The 16168-nt window shown below is 37.1% G+C and overlaps 1 protein-coding gene and 1 long non-coding RNA gene across 9 annotated transcripts in view; one reads left to right on the top strand and one right to left on the bottom strand.

Annotated features, from left to right (window-relative positions):
- MAP3K20-AS1 (MAP3K20 antisense RNA 1) overlaps positions 1-14162 on the top strand; it is an 84325-nt gene extending 70163 nt beyond the window's left edge. The window contains exons 6-8 of the long non-coding RNA NR_033882.1: positions 1929-2227; positions 4216-4327; positions 13050-14162. This is a non-coding gene — a long non-coding RNA (MAP3K20 antisense RNA 1). The remainder of the gene's footprint in view (positions 1-1928; positions 2228-4215; positions 4328-13049) is intronic.
- Positions 1-16168, bottom strand: part of MAP3K20 (mitogen-activated protein kinase kinase kinase 20) — a 192499-nt gene that overhangs the window by 56142 nt on the left and 120189 nt on the right. For all 8 annotated transcript variants that reach the window (XM_047444746.1, XM_017004324.2, NM_016653.3 and 5 more), the window contains exons 8-10: positions 13762-13848; positions 8004-8078; positions 2039-2145 (exon numbers count right to left, since the gene is read on the bottom strand). In XM_047444746.1, the coding sequence (XP_047300702.1) occupies positions 2039-2145; positions 8004-8078; positions 13762-13848 (269 nt within the window). The remainder of the gene's footprint in view (positions 1-2038; positions 2146-8003; positions 8079-13761; positions 13849-16168) is intronic.

Raw genomic sequence — 16168 nt, 5'->3', positions numbered from 1 at the left:
GGCGCGATCTCAGCTCACTGCAACCTCTGCCTCCCGGGTTCACGCCATTCTCCTGCCTCAGCCTCCCAAGTAGCTGGGACTACAGGCACCCGCCACCATGCCTGGCTAATTTTTTGTATTTTTAGTAGAGATGGGGTTTCACCGTGTTAGCCAGTATGGTCTCGATCTCCTGACGTTGATCCACCTGACTTGGCCTCCCAAAGTGCTGGGATTACAGGCGTGAGCCACTGTGCCTGGCCCGAATTACTTCTTAATTCCAATAGCAGCAAAGCCTATGAAGGAGATGCTCTCAGAGCACATAAAGTGGAACCTGATCTGGCCTGGGGTCAGGAAGTGTTTCCCTGCAGACGTGTTATTCAACTGCCATGTGAATGATGAACAGGAGTTAAGGTGGGGTGTGACGGCAGGCGTGGTACACAGCTGAAATGGGATAAGCTTCAAAGAGAGGAAACTGCTTGTAAAGATCCTGAAAAGGGGAGAAATACGCATCTGTTGAGGGACTGAAAGCCAGAAATTAAGGGGAGAATGATCTTCTTAAGCTGACACTGGTGAGGCCACAGTAATGAGGGTCTGGTGAGTCTTCTTAAGTATTCTGGTCCTTTTCATTTCTTGAGAATGATTCTTGCTCTGTCACCAGGCTGGGCTTGAACTCCTGGGCTCAAGTAATCCACCAGCCTTGGCCTCCTGAAGTGCTGGGATTACAGGCATGAGCCACTGTGCCAAGTATTCTGGTCTTTGTCTTAAGAGTAATGGGAACTCATATATGGATTTTAAAGGAGAATGATCTGATGACATGTATACTGATCTCTTACTGCAAAAAACAAATATTACTTAAATGTTCTGTTTTGTTAATTATCTCAGCCCAGAAAAAAGTCCCTTATACCTAGACTTGAGCTCACTGTATAATTTTTGTATCCCTAAATAAAAATTCATTTACCTCACTAGCCCTAGATAAGATATTTCAAAGGAATAAAAATAAATAAGGTTATTGTAAAACAACAAACAGAAAGCCCAAAGAAGTATCTAGTAACAGGAGTAAACAACGCAGTAATTTTCAAAGTGCATGCAGTATTCATTTGGCATCAGCAGATGGCGTAAGGCGTCATGTTACTGCCCACGGCTATCGGGAGCAGAGATGAAGTTACCTAAATCTCCGCTGAGTCAGGGGGGGAATAATGTCAGCTTCCAAACATGCTATTTATAGTCATGCATCATGTGACCTGGCTCAAATGTTTCATCCTGGGTTTACTCTTCCACTCATGCAATACAATTTTCTCATTACTAAATTTATTTAACAAGCTTTAATAGGATTTATGATATCAAGTTTTCTTTTAAGAGTATTTTTGATGTCTCCCTATCCCCCTTCACTAGCAGACACAGTGCTCAGCGAATTTCAAGGTAAACAGTATTCTTGTTTCTTACACAACAGAGGACAAAGCTTCCTAACAAAGTAAACACAGAGAAATGTCTGGTAACCATCTTTTGTCTCAGAAGACAGGATTTCAATTTTTTTTTTTTTGAGATGGAGTTTTTCACTCTTGTTGCTCAGGCTGGAGTGCAATGGCATGATCTCGGCTCACTGCAACCTCTGCCTCCAGGTTCAAGTGATTCTCCTGCCTCAGCCTCCTGAGTAGCTGGGATTACAGGCATGTGCCACCACACCTGGCTAATTTTTTGTATTTTTAGTAGAGACAGGGTTTCTCCATGTTGGTCAAGGTGGTCTCAAACTCCTGACCTCAGGTGATCTGCCTGCCTTGGCCTCCCAAAGAGCTGGGATTACAGGCGTGAGCCACCGCGACCGGCCTCAATATTCTTTTCAAATACTTACACAAGGCAACAAGCTTGGAGAAACACTATTTCTTGCTTATGAAATGCAGGACTTATAAGAGTTCCAAAATCATAAAAAAAACCTTTTCTTTTTCCCTAAGCTATGGTCAGAAATCAGGACTGTCATTCAGATCTCTGGTTCACTTCTTCATTGAGACGAGTGATGGTCTTTGAAAGCCAGACGCTGTGGCCTGCTGTCGGGGCTACCCACCTCCACTCCGCCTTGTTGTGTAGGAATGAGTTACACTTGTCAGGAAGGCTCGTGTCATTTGACATGGACTCCAGGATTGAAATGATTTGCTTGAATGATGGCCGTTTCTGAAGAAGAGAAAATAAGTAATCATTCGCTGGGACTTAAGAAAGGAGATATTTAAGAGAAAACGTAGATACTACAAGCATAGTAATAAACTCAACCCACCATAACAAAATAAAACATGATACAATGTCCTGATGTAGTTATTTTACAATCATCAGATCACTCAGGTTTAGGGAGCTCTATTCTTTATTTTCGGTGAACTATTCACAAGGAGAGATTCAGATGCTGTTTTCTATCGTGTGGCCTAAGGTTGGGATAATTCATGTTTTTTGTCCAGGAAGGGAGAAAACTAATTCTCTCTTTTAAGAACTCCTAAAAGGAAACAGTGAAGTCCTTTAAAAATCTCCGTGATAAAGCCAGTAAAAAGTTAACAGTAGACTGTGTGTGGTGGGATGTTAGTGTTCACTGTAAAATTCTTTCCACTTTTATGTTTGAACATTTTTATGATAAAGCGTTGGGGGGAAATCTACCTATCAATCTATTGGAACTAATAAAATTTTCCAAATTGGTTTGTCAGAAAAAAAAATTCAGGTACTATGCTGATTATCTGGGTGAGGAAATAATCTGTACTCCAAACCTCCATGACACACAATCTACCTATATAACAAACGTGGCCATGTGCCCCTGAACCTAAAAGTAAAGTAAAAACAAGAAAAAACCCCAATTTTAAAGCCATCATAACTTCACTGTTCTCAATATTTATTTTCTGTTATAATTAGCTTTAGTGCTAAGACACTGTAAGGTACTGTTCACTAGAAATGAGCAGTGGTTAAGTGTGTTTCTTGAGCTGGCAGTAACTATTCTAGTCTATCTCTTTAGACTCTAGCCAAGGTTGAGACAAAAGGTTAAAACAAAAAGAGAAAGATAATAAAAAGGATGATGCACATTCTCTCTTCATCATGCCTCGTAATTACGCCATTACTGAACAAATTATAGTTGCAGCAATTAAAACATGCATTTTAATTTAAGAGCACAAAAACAAGAAGAAACAATGTTGAGGTGGCTTGCTCTCAGGATTTAAGTGCTTCCTACATTACTAAGAAAAGCAATTTTTCCATTTCTCAGAAATATAAAAACCTAGGATATATAATGAGTTCTGCCATTATTATTCTCTTTCAAGGGCACTTGTGTGCATGTGTGTGCCTGTGTCTTTCCTTGAAGAGGGCACACATAGATAAATGTTACTGATATATATTAAGCCTTCTAATAAGCAAAGAGGAAAATGCCCTAAGTAGGAAGCTTGAAAAATGTTCTATTTATCTTCTTTAACTTTGTCCTCCTCTTAATTTCTCCCAGCATGTATCAGGTTTTAAAATGATTTTTTTTTTTTTTTAAGACAGAGTCTTGCTCTGTTGCCCAGGCTGGAATGCAGTGGTGTGATCATAGCTCACTGCAGCCTCGACCACCTGGGCTCACCAATTTTCCTGCCTCAGCCTCCCAAGTAGCGGGGACTAAAGGTGTTTGCCACCATGGCCAGCTAATTTTTTAGTTTTTTATACAGAGGGGTCTCGCCATCTTGCCCAAGCTGGTCTCAAACTCCTTGTCCCAAGTGATCTTCCTGCCTCAGCCTCCTAAAGTGATGGGATTACAGGCATGAGCCACTGTGCCTGGCCTGAAAAATGTTTTAATCATTTGCATAAGAACTAATTATATAATAAAGGATTTTCATTTTGCAAGGAAAAGCAGCAGGAAGAGCTAATGAATTTTTAAAGAATAATTTCCCTACATTTAATCATTCTTAAAATAAGGTGAAACTCTTCTGTAATTGGATGACCAGCATCCCTAGAAAAAATTTAATTTTATAGTCAGAACCTACTCTTGGATAGAGGTTATCAAAGTGAACATTTAAGAGGTGATAACAATGTAGATTTTTGTGGTAATAATATTCTATGAGTATTCTGGTTACAGAATACAACACTTTGTCTAGGATCTTATATAAATTCCTCTGAAGCGGATTAGGTTCCTTTTAGGCATCACATAGGATTTGCTTATTCAAAAAAAAAAAAAAAACTGGGACCATTTGTGAAGCATCTACATACATTATTTCTCTATTTGTTATCTTCATTTTATAGGTAAGGACCACAAGTCTCAGAAGAGTAGGAAGTGCCCAGCATCACACAGGAAGCAAGTTACAGAACCAAGGGCTCTGTTCATAAACTGTTCAACATCTTTTATCACATAAGGGTAAGATACTACTTCCTATTGAACTTATGACTTCAACTTACTATTATTATTTGTGGAGACGGCGTCTTGCTCCATTGCCCAGGCAGGAGTGCAGTGGTGCAATCTCGGCTCAGTGCAACCTCTGCCTCCCAGGTTCAAGTGATTCTCCTGCCTCAGACTCCCAAGTAGCTGGGACTACAGGAACGCGCCACCACGCCCAGCTAATCTTTTGTATTTTAGTAGAGACGGGGTTTCACTGTGTTGCCTGGCTGGTGTCCAACTCCTGAGCTCAGGCAATCTGCCTGTCTTGGCCTCCCAAAGTGCTAGGATTACAGACGTGAGCCACTGCACGAGACCAACTTATTTTTTTCCCTATTTAGAAATGTCATTTTAGGACCTGAACCAATACCCACCTTTCCTTTTTTTCTCCTTCTCTTCAATAAAATATTTTGAGCACCTGTTGTAAGCCACTAGAAGGACTTGACATTTACCTAATATCAGCTTTCTCTTGCATACATCACCACCCCGCCCCCGACCCTCATTGCAAAAGAACAGCAGTTCTATAGGTGGGCTGAATATTTTAATCTAGATGTTTGTTAATACTCTAAAAATTTAAGGACTTAAAAAAAAAAAAAAAGAAAGTACTTTATTGCTCTACATATGTGCATAGGACTGGCACTAACTTCTGGTTGAATTGCTACGTATTTCTAGCCAGAAAATGGATGTACCACTCAGGAAATTTACTGTGGTCTGGCTACTTCAGGCAACAACAAATTTGGCATCCACTTTCCAAATTGATGTAATGTGCAATAGGCAAATACATGTAACAATTACCTCTACACCCTTATAAAGCTTGCCGTCCATCTAGGAAGAAAATATGTCTTTAAAAATACAGCTGTACCAGGTAAGGCCCAGACTGTGGTTTAGGAAAAGTGCTAAGCCTGGGGTGGGATAAATAGAATAACCAAGGAAGACTTGATGATGAAGTATTCAGAGGAGAAAGTAAAGAAGGAAGAGAACTTGTTTGGGAATGAAAGTATGTAAGGTGTGTCTAGAGGAGATCAGCAGTGAGAGAGTTGGAAATGTGGGCCGTGGCCAGGTATATAACCAAATCAAATACAGGGGACATGTCACTGTTTAATCAGAATAAAATGACATGAATTTAGAAAATAAAAATCAATCTTAAACTTCCTTTATACTTCATGTGGCTGGAATGCAAGATTTCTTTGGTCCTAAAGAAGGGTTAGCTTACTACATTTAAAGACATGCCAGCTGCACAGCTTCAAGACTGGGCCTAATGTTCTTGTTGTGTAAGGTGGATGTACCATAAATGTACATTCTTAGAATTTTAATTAATGTGGTACTGAGTGCTCAATTAAGAAACTCAAAATTTGCTTTGCATACTGAAATCTAATCACAATTATAGAGATCTAGCTGCAATAATCAAATTCAATGCAAATAATTTCAGGCAAAATTTCTATTTATGTATCAGAGAGAAACATATGTCCAAAATGACTTCTACATCACAATGGACATATAACTAGTAAGAAGGGTAGGGAAGGGGTAGTATGATACCATTTTAACAGTATAAAATAAATGTTTTAAAGCAAGCTTGAAAATACGTGCTTATAGTTTCTACTGAACTAGTTGCAAAGTGTAGGCATTTCTCTTAATGCTTAAAAATCCCCATTCTACAAAATCATGTACTAAAAAGGAGCAGGGCAGACCATTCAAAAACCATGCAACTGTGTCATCAAATACTAATAAAAAGAACAACAATCCTAAATAAAATACTAACACAGTTTAAAAAGATTATTCTTTAGTAAAAATAATACTAGGAATATCTAGGACTCTACTTAAAAAAAAGGGTAAGGGAAGTCTAAAGACCAGGAGTGAAAGCAAAGATTTTGCAACATGTACGCAGCACAGTTTGTTGCTGGGAGAACCAGCAACAAATTCTTCCAAGTTAAGCCAAGCCAAGCCAAGAAGGAGCACGTGGAGTGAACAGGCTTCATGGCACTGGTCCCTTGCTGCCTTGTTGGCTGCATTATTACACTTTGTGCTCAGTGCAGAACAATGTGTTGGGAAACATTATGAACCATCAACATGAATTCTGTGTTATACTAACATAGTCCCCAGTCTCCATTCTCACCAATTGCTTCTGAGTTAGTTATTCCCATTAAAGAAACATATTGTAGAAGAACAGAGTATATTTTATGGCCATTCTTCTTGGGGGTCAGATTGGAACAGGGTTTACATTCAGTAAGAAATTTGATTCTTTAGTCTTTCTTTTTAGTCTCTGTTTAAAAGATCAGTTTTAATACCTCTATTTCCACAAAAAACTGGACAAATTTAAACTATAAAACTTTTGTTCCTTTCTTGAGTGTAACTGCTCTCTTATTCTAATCTTTAATCTGTGAGAATATGTTTTATTTTATTTATTTATTTTTTTTTTTTTTTTTTTTGAGACAGAGTCTCGCTCTGTCACCCAGGCTGGAGTGCAGTGGCGCAATCTTGGCTCACTGCAAGCTCCGCCTCCCGGGTTCATGCCATTCTCCTGCCTCAGCCTCCCAAGTAGCTGGGACTACAGGTGCCCGCCACCACGCCCGGCTAATTTTTTGTATTTTTAGTAGAGGTGGGGTTTCACTGTGTTAGCCAGGATGGTCTCGATCTCCTGACCTCATGATCCGCCTGCCTCTGCCTCCCAAAGTGCTGGGATTACAGGCGTGAGCCACCGCGCCCAGCCTATTTTTTATTTTTTAACTCATTATGGAAAATTCCAAAATATACAAAAGTAGAGATAACAATATAATGAACCTCTATATATTATCACTCAGCTTCAAAAATTATCATGGCCAATCCATTTTAATCTATACCATCATCCATTTCCCTTCACTTTGTTTTGAAGCAAATCCAAGACTAGCCTATCATTTCATCTGTAAACATTTCCATATGTATGCGAGAGTCTTTTAAAATGATCTTTGCAGGGAAAGGATATGGGCCATTCATGCTCAAATGTGATAACCACATGAAAGCCTAAGCTTTGGAATTTCTCCAACTCTATTGTGGAGCTCAAAAACATCACTGAAGCTGGACAGGCAGTACATATCAAGATGCTCTAGAAGCGCTACTTTTGTCTGCTCTTTGGCTAGAAAAGCAAAATAGTGCAGTGGTTAAGAGCAGGGACTGTGCCAGACCTAGTTCATGTCCAGCCCTACTACCTACTAGCTGTGTGGCCTTGAGCTCATGATGTAACCTCTGTATGTCTTGGTTCTTCATCTGTTAAATGAGGATAATTGAGGCATCTATTTCATAGAGATATTCTGAGGAATAAATGAGTTAACATACATAAAGTGTTTGGAACAGTGCCTGGCATATTCTAAGTACTGTGTCTTAGCCATCTCAATAGCATATAGGTGCAATAGTTATTACTAAAAATTAAAAACAAAATAATAAAATTATTTATACTGAATTCAGAATGTCAAAGCGTGCTATGAGAATGAGTTAATAATGAGTCTCTAGAGATCAAGATTAAGCAGAATGTCAACAGAAAACCTTAACAGTCAATCTGGGGCTCATAGGAGCATCAATCCAGCTTTGCTTTGTAATGAATTTTATTACCCTAAGTTTTAAAAACTGAAAGCCAAACAAGAGAAATTTCAGAATTCTAAACAATAACAAAAATACATATGTATACCTTGGCATCAGCTTCCCAACACTGATGTAACAGTTCAGCAAAACTTCTGGGGCAACTGCTTGGAATGGTTAATCTCTACAATAGACAGAGGGAAACAAAACAAAATAAAACAGGGATTTATTCATTAATGTCAGCAAACACCGTATCTGAAGGGTCATAATAGAGTTATTTTAAGAACATAAGGCATGAAATTTAAAGCTTCCATTGATTAATATGTGACAAGTGACAATTTATGTTTAGATCTGTAATCTCTAAAGACTCATACTTTTTCTTGAAAGGGAACTGTAGTGAACGGAGAAGTCAGGTTCAGTACAACTAATGCAACAAAACATAAAATATCTAAACAGAACTACAGTAGGAGGGGGCAAGTCGGAACTTAAATATTAAATATAAAACCATATGTCACTGTATGTTTATAGGCAACTTGCGATATATGTAAATAGGCCAGGTAACTAGAAACCAGTTTAGCTTTGGCAGTAGGTATACAACTCTGAAAACATCTGAGCACAGATCACAGAGATAATTTTAAAAACTCTACATTTCTCAGTGGTAAATAAGACATTCTGAACGTATGACTGATTACGGCTTTGTTTTGGTCAAACCCATATACTTTAAGGACCCGATACAACAAAAATTATAATGTGAGGATGGTCCTGTTCTAACATCCTACAGTGGTGCTTCTCATAGAACTTGTGGTGCCTCTATTCCACAGAAGCATTTTGTGTTTGTTTTAGAGACTGGTGGGTTGCAACCGACTTTTAAGTATAACAGGTCAGGAATGCTAGACAATTCAATATACCATACTATCCTGCATAACCAGGAACTCCCCTGTATCCCACAAAATTTCAAATGCCCCATTTACATTCATGTAAGTAAAACAAGCAAACAATGAAGTTTATAATTTTCTGGGCCTAGAATCTAACTCTAACTTACAAATAAACACAAAGTATTCTTTTGAACAGTTTTAAGATACACTGAACTCTGCAGAATGCATCTACCAAATAAAATAAATCAAAGGCTTATTGATTCTTGCATGATTCATAACTTTATCATGATTTCTGACATAACAACAACAGTGCTACTCCCAGTACTGGAGTCGTTAATACAACCCAACTCCATCCGGGTGCATTTGTAGCTGCTGAGTTCTATTTATCCCCTAAAACTGTTCCAAAATCTCCTCTGGTGTGGTCATGCTTGAGCATTTGTACACTGGAAAACATCTTTCATTTATTTCTCTTTTATATTACAGTTAGAGCATTATGTTAACTTACAATATAATGTGTGTAGGTAGTTGTGTTACCTTTGAATTTCACCTCAAGGGAGTGTAAGGGGTTGTTAACATAGTTGTTATAAAATGAGCATTGGGTGTGATGGAGTTGAGAACTGCTGTAATAAGTATTAAGACTTATTCCACAGTTCTGTTTGCCAAAGAAGTTTTGCAAATAAAAAACTTAAAACTGAACTTGGCTGGATTTGGGGGAGGCTATGAGAAGCTAGAAACATAGTTGCCTTGACAAGAAAACTGACAACCTGTATTCTGAATTACAGATAATCCTAAAATCAAAACAAAGTTGAAAAACAAAACAACTCTCTCCAAACTAAAGGCCGTGCTAAGCACTTTCAAACTTCTAGTCTTGTGATTTCACAGAATAGGACAAGATGTATTAAACTGTACTATTATTTTACTGTAAACTGCAGACCTTTTGATGAAGGTTAAAAAAAAATTCAGGTGTTTACTTTTTTAAATATAAAATGGTTGGGGGCTGGGAATTAATAAAAGTAGACTATAATTGCAATTATGCACTTGAATGTACTCTGTAACTAAAAATAATGAGTTTTCGTCAAGGGTAACATTTTTCAGTACAACTGTGTCTCAACATTTTCCTGAGAACTGAATGTGAGCTGGCTGAATATGGAGGATGATCATTTCTGTGATCTTTTCTTACTGAAAAACTGTTTAGATACCACATCGAAGTCATTACACAAGGAAACACAATTATTTTAAATAATCTGACATGGCCAAATATCAGTTAAATCTAGACTCAGACACTTTATGCAATGGATTATTTTGGTGCGTTAAAAAGTACTTTAAAATAGAATTCAAATTATTTAAGTCCTGATTACATAACTGTGGGCATTCCTAATACATGAAAACATTCTGAAATAACCAGATCTTAGCACCAGGTTTGCAATACTACTTAAAACAAATATTTTTAAATAAAAGTTTCAAATTAAAATATTTCCCAATCACTAAATTAGGCATGACATTTTTAAAAGAGCATATTCATTTTTGCACCATTTTCTACATAAGATGTAAAATTTTTTTTAAGTCAAGTTTTTATCTTTTTCTAAAGTATAGTCAAGAACAGTGGATTAAGTCTTATGAAGATTTCTGTTAGTCAAATAGTTTTGTTATTTAGAACAAACACATATGTAAGAATTTAAGTATTTATAAAAATAGAAATTATGCTACCAGAACATTCTGAATGATCACTGATTGAGTACCATGGAAATGACAAAAGCAAATATATCCATCTGTTCCATTTAAAAAATTTATGAGTAATGCCCTCTTAATTTCATGCCTTCTATAAAGGTTCATTGTTTACTTTGTAAAGTTTAGCAGTGCTTTATGAATCTAGTTTTAATAGGATTTAATATTAGAAATATGACTGTTTAAACATCTTATTTTATTATTAAGGGATTAGAAGCAAAGATCTTCAGATATAATTTTTAGAAAGTATTGATTTTTCTATAGATGCAAAAAGTAATCTTAAATGGTGAAAATGAATAAGGTCTATTGTCTGGGTAAGAGTAATGCGCCAATCTCAATTGCCTGGTCTTGACAGTATACTACAGACATGTAAGATTTCACCAGTGAGGGAAGCTGGGTGAAGAGTACACAAATTTCTTTAGTTTTTGTTAATTTAAAAAACTTTTTTGGCCGGGCACGTTGGCTCATGCCTGTAATCCCAGCACTTTGGGAGGCCGAGGCAGGTGGATCACTTGAGGTCAGGAGTTCAAGACCAGCCTGGCCAATATGGTGAAACCCCATTTCTACTAAAAATAAAAAAACTTTTTTGAGTCAGGGTGTCACTCTGTCACCCAGGCTGGAGTGCAGTGGTATGATAATGGTGGCAGCCTTGACCTCCCGGACTCAAGGGATCCTCCTACCTCAGTCTCCCCAGTAGATGGGACTACAGGTATGCACAACCACACCCAGCTAATTTTTTGATTCTTTGTAATATTTTTGCAAACTCCTGTGAATCTATAATTATTTCAAAATAAAAAGTTAAAAAAAAGACAACTCTAATACTTGGATATAGATATTATAGATGACTAGATAACATTTAAAATGTCTTCCTGAACACTTGAACATGTCTTTCTTTATTTAAATGAGGCCTGTTAAAAATACGACTTTCTCTTTTCAACCCATAACCCAAAATATTCAATAGTAAAAATACAGTAAAAGAATTAGAAGTTGAAGGGATTTTGTAAATTATGTTTAAGTCAAAGCCTCAATTTTGTTATGAAATGAAATAAACCCTTGTGAATTATCTTTATGCTATGTCAACAGAATTTATTTTGGAAATGGATACCTCCATTTGTGAGGTGAAATGAAGATACCTTCTTAAATGATGATGTTGAAACTTACATTGAAACTTAATTTCCATATTTTTGACAAATAAATATTGTACAGAATGAGAATAGCAGATAAATATCCTTGTAATACCCAATTTTACTGAAGTTCATTAGAAAGTTGAGAAAATGTATTTCACCATGTAGGCTTTTTTCAACTAACTATTATATTTAATGAATACAGTGTGGGAAGTATTTGAGTAGTCTTCATCAGTTATTAGCTGATCATCAGAACATATCATGAATAAAATAGTAAACTCTACTTTCTGGGATCTCTGGGGAGAAAAAAGACTGCTTCTGCATGTATAATGTTGAAGAGGTTCTGAAGGTTATTCATGGGTGATTCCAATCCTCAAGTCAACTATCCAGGCAGCTTCTAAATTCATTTTTTTCTTCAGCTTTAAAAATCCTTCACGGATACTCCAATGTTTTAAAAAGTGCTTTAAATTTATATCTATTCTGCCACCCTTTAGATATTATTTAAAAATATTAATTATTCTGTCTTATACATATTTGGAGGGTCCAGTTAGCTAAAAAAACAAAAACAAAACAAAATGAAAAAAAAAAAAAAACAACCTTTCTCCTAGTTTATCTTGGAATAGTGCAGAGGGAAAAGATTACACTGAATGTTTTGGTTCCAGAGTCTACACAAGGTCAGTAATTTTCTTTGCTTTCATTTGTAAACCCAGAACAAGATCTCTAATCATCTTACTGGCAAAAGAAATACAACAGAAACAAGTGTTTCCTCATATGACGACAATATCAGTCATCCTGTGTGTAAGATCTTATTTAATAGCACATGAGGAATTACTATCACTTTTAATTAAAACAGAACAGCTCCTGTGAAACAATGAGTAAGGCACATTCTTGCATATAACTCCTTTTCATTTCTTAAATTGGCAGCTCTTTCCCATCAGTTTCAGCTATCATCAACATTTCATCCACTCCCAATGAATCAGGAGGAAAAATTATATGGTAACTCTGGATTATGTGATCTAAAAGATGGAAACTTGGTTTCTCCTAGTCAATAGCAGCTTTTTGATTAATCTAGTTTGTTCCTGCATTCACCTGGGAAGCAGATGAATCTAATTCTTTTAGAGCATTAAAAGGGAATATTTTTATATATTCACCTTTTTGCAAATTATTTTATTCTAAGGTTGCAGTCTTACCCTTTGTGGAGAGCACAGATAAGATTTGGAAATGAAGAAGTTTTGTGAAATAAAGTAGTTTTGCATTGCAAAGACAACTGCTTGCTTCCATTACATGATCTAAGTTCTCATAATACCTTGATATTGGATGCTTCATCCTTATGCTGAGAATTTCCATGGCTGTGCGTTTCAGTCACAATTTTAAACCTTTCAAAATGTAGTTGCTCTCTTTGATATGAATGTACCATGTTCTCTGATGTAGGCTCATAGGTCCAACTAACTGAAAGCCTCAATTTGTGGGAAGAAGAGAAGCGAGGCTGGGGACACAGCACAAACGGTGTTTACGCCACTGAAGTTCTTTTGAAATGGAAAGGCTCTGCATGAAGAAGCGAACAGTTATGCCACTGCCTCGCCAATTCCAGTGAGGAGCTCATCTTCAATGTAGTGTTCAACGTAGGTGGCAAAACTGTAATTTTTCCCTTTTTTGAAACTATTTTTTCTTCTTTTATTTTTGAAATTCTCATCTAAGCGACAGTTTCTTGTACTATAGTGACTCCTGCTGGGAGAGGTAAGTTGAAGTAGCTGAAGGTCTCTTACAGATATATCAACTCCCGGCCAGTAAAAAAGATGTCCTAAACGCAGGAGATGGAGTTAAACTGTTCCCCTACCTTGGACGCAATGGCTTCTTTCATCACTAAGAACAAACCCCTAGGTTTTACAATTGAGACTGAGAAACTAGTACAGTACTTGTACAATTTTTGATCTACAGCATCACGACGTGAAGCTGCAACAATTAGATGTAAAGGGTCCATTCATGAGGAATAACATCACTTTGACCCTTTGTGTTAGCTCCTACTGCTAATCTTTCCATAAGCGTGAACTTACTTTCAATTTGAAGAAGATGAAAAAGTCTTTTGCAAAACCCCAATACTGTTTTCTGATCTATGTACCTGAATGGAGAAACGTAGTCTTACCTCGTTTTTTTCCACTACAAGCCAAGCTACTTGTAATCCTTCCAAACCTTTAAAGGGGACCTCCCTTGTTAGCATCTCCCAGAGAACCTGGAACAAAAAGAAAATGGAATTTTTATTTTTGTACTTTATATTTTTTGGTACATATTACTGAGACCTTATCTAACATGTAATTGTATCTAATTACCAGACACAACCAACCCCAACTGTAGAAACTTGGGCAAAACAATTAAGCACACAACTTCTTCTATATATTAAATACTTTTTACGTTCTTTTTTATAAAGAAAAAACCTGGTTTAGAAATTAGGACATCTAGAGCCAGACTTAAAATTTTATGAAACCAATGGGCCTGACTGATTTAATGTCATCTCATAAATTATCAGAATTTTTATGTTCTCACAAATTAGATTGTATATTTTGTTAGTTAAAACTCGTTCTACCTTCAATTTCTGATACATTTGTCTAGGAAATAATAACTGGGAATTCAACAATATTTTAAAAGGTTCAATAATGGTCTCATCAAAAATAACTGAGCCCCAAATCCAAATCACTGGCTAACCTACCTACCCCACAATGGTAGATACTTGCAAAATTGTAATATTTAGATTTTACAAGTTACATTTTAGATTTTGGAGAAATCTCCCGCAAAATGAGTCGGTCTAAGGGATCTATTTTCATCTACCTACAATATAATCTATTATACCATACTCTAAGATGTAATAAACACTTTCTATACATATAAGCTGACTATGTGAAAGTGAGCTTATGTGTGTGTTCATCTTTGTGCAGTTCTTGAGATCAGTATGATTATTAAATCTGAGTGGAATGCCCAAAGAAAGCAAATTGATGCTAGGAATACTGCTGATTTTGGGTTCTCTTGAAACACTGAGTAATGGAGATTTGTATACTATGTTACTTTTCCCTGTTTATACAAATGGAGTTCAAAAATGTGAGTCTACCAATACTCTGTAAAGTGCAAAAACAATTCTAGTTTTATCAGTAATAGTCCTAATAATAAAAACCACCACCGCTTATTGAGTACTTATTATATTCCAGATGCCCTTTTCATATATTACCATGATTAATAGCAATCCTACTGGATACATCTTACCCTTATTTTATAGGTGAGGTAACTATTTAAAAAGTTAAAAAAAAAAAACTTGCCCAAAGACAGTCAGTTATCCAGTGACAGAGCCAGACTATGAACCTGCTGGCTCACCCCAAAGGTCAGGCTCTTGACTCCTTTTAATGTGAGTGAAGGGAAAGTGACAGTACTTGAGAGAATGCGACAGGCCCTGTCTTAGGTATGGCGCCCTGGGAGAAGCAGGAAGAGAACCAGTGGCTTCGACTCAGATTTCCCTTGTTTTAAAAACAAAAGCTCATTTCTAATAGGAACGTAGATGGAGCACACATACTCTCTAGTCAAGCAAATCATAGAAACCTTTCACTCCATATCCACTATTTCCTCAGCCAGTGCTCAGTCTCATTTCAACCATAACACAGTAAATGAATTCTGGCTAATACGAAGATAATTAGCAGGAAAATCAGGGAAATTGGCAGATGCTGCTCAAGCAGGAGAAAAAAAATTCACTGAAGCCTCTTTGGGCTTTTAATCAAGTGTGTAAGGTACTCCTTTAGAGGAGCTACTGAATAATTCTATTTGAGTCACACAAGTGATTAGGAAAAGGTAAGGGGCATCCCACAAGGGGACAATTCTAGTGAACACCACACGTAAAGGAAGGGTGACAGAACAGGTATGCAATCACCCTGACCTACACAGGGAGGGAGGCTGGGCAGCAAGAGGGCTGAGCAGGAAATGGAGCCCCTCATTTGGCTGCAATTACCACTCCACAGGGGGCTAGGGCTGGGGAGGGGAAAAGATACGAAGGGCAAGTAAATTAATGGATGTGGCATTCCTAAGGAGAATGGGAACAGGGAGTTAGCCTCCAATAAATCAAACGCTCCAGACCCCCAAACGCACAGATGAGCAGTGCCTCTTCTGAGTTTGGCCTGCAGGTATGATAAACACGCCGTGTACATGTGTGCACACATGCACAGACTGAATTTTGTGAAGTAAATTGCAAATCCAAGAGTTTGGGGGGACAACACCAGAAAAACATTTACGTCATTCTTGATTCCAAAATATTCTGCTGGAAAATGTCCAAAATCTAATAAAATTTAAGTTATATTTCTCTGAGAGCTCTAACCGTGAAAAATAAAGAAAAAAATAAGCCAATTCCATTTGACTCCCTCTGTGTCTCTGAAGAGCTACTACAGCTGAGGGAGTTACTTGATGGATGTAAAAGTGTCTGAGGTGGGGTCATTAGCTGCTATGTCCTGAAGCCCAAATGAGGTCTTTAGTTTAATTCCAGTATCAGCACATCTCATGATTTCCTTTTATTAATTCCC

Source organism: Homo sapiens, chromosome 2 (assembly GCF_000001405.40).
Source record: "Homo sapiens chromosome 2, GRCh38.p14 Primary Assembly".
Taxonomy (NCBI): domain Eukaryota; kingdom Metazoa; phylum Chordata; class Mammalia; order Primates; family Hominidae; genus Homo; species Homo sapiens.
Note: the sequence above shows the minus strand (reverse complement) of the source record. Positions and strands in the feature narration are given on the sequence as shown.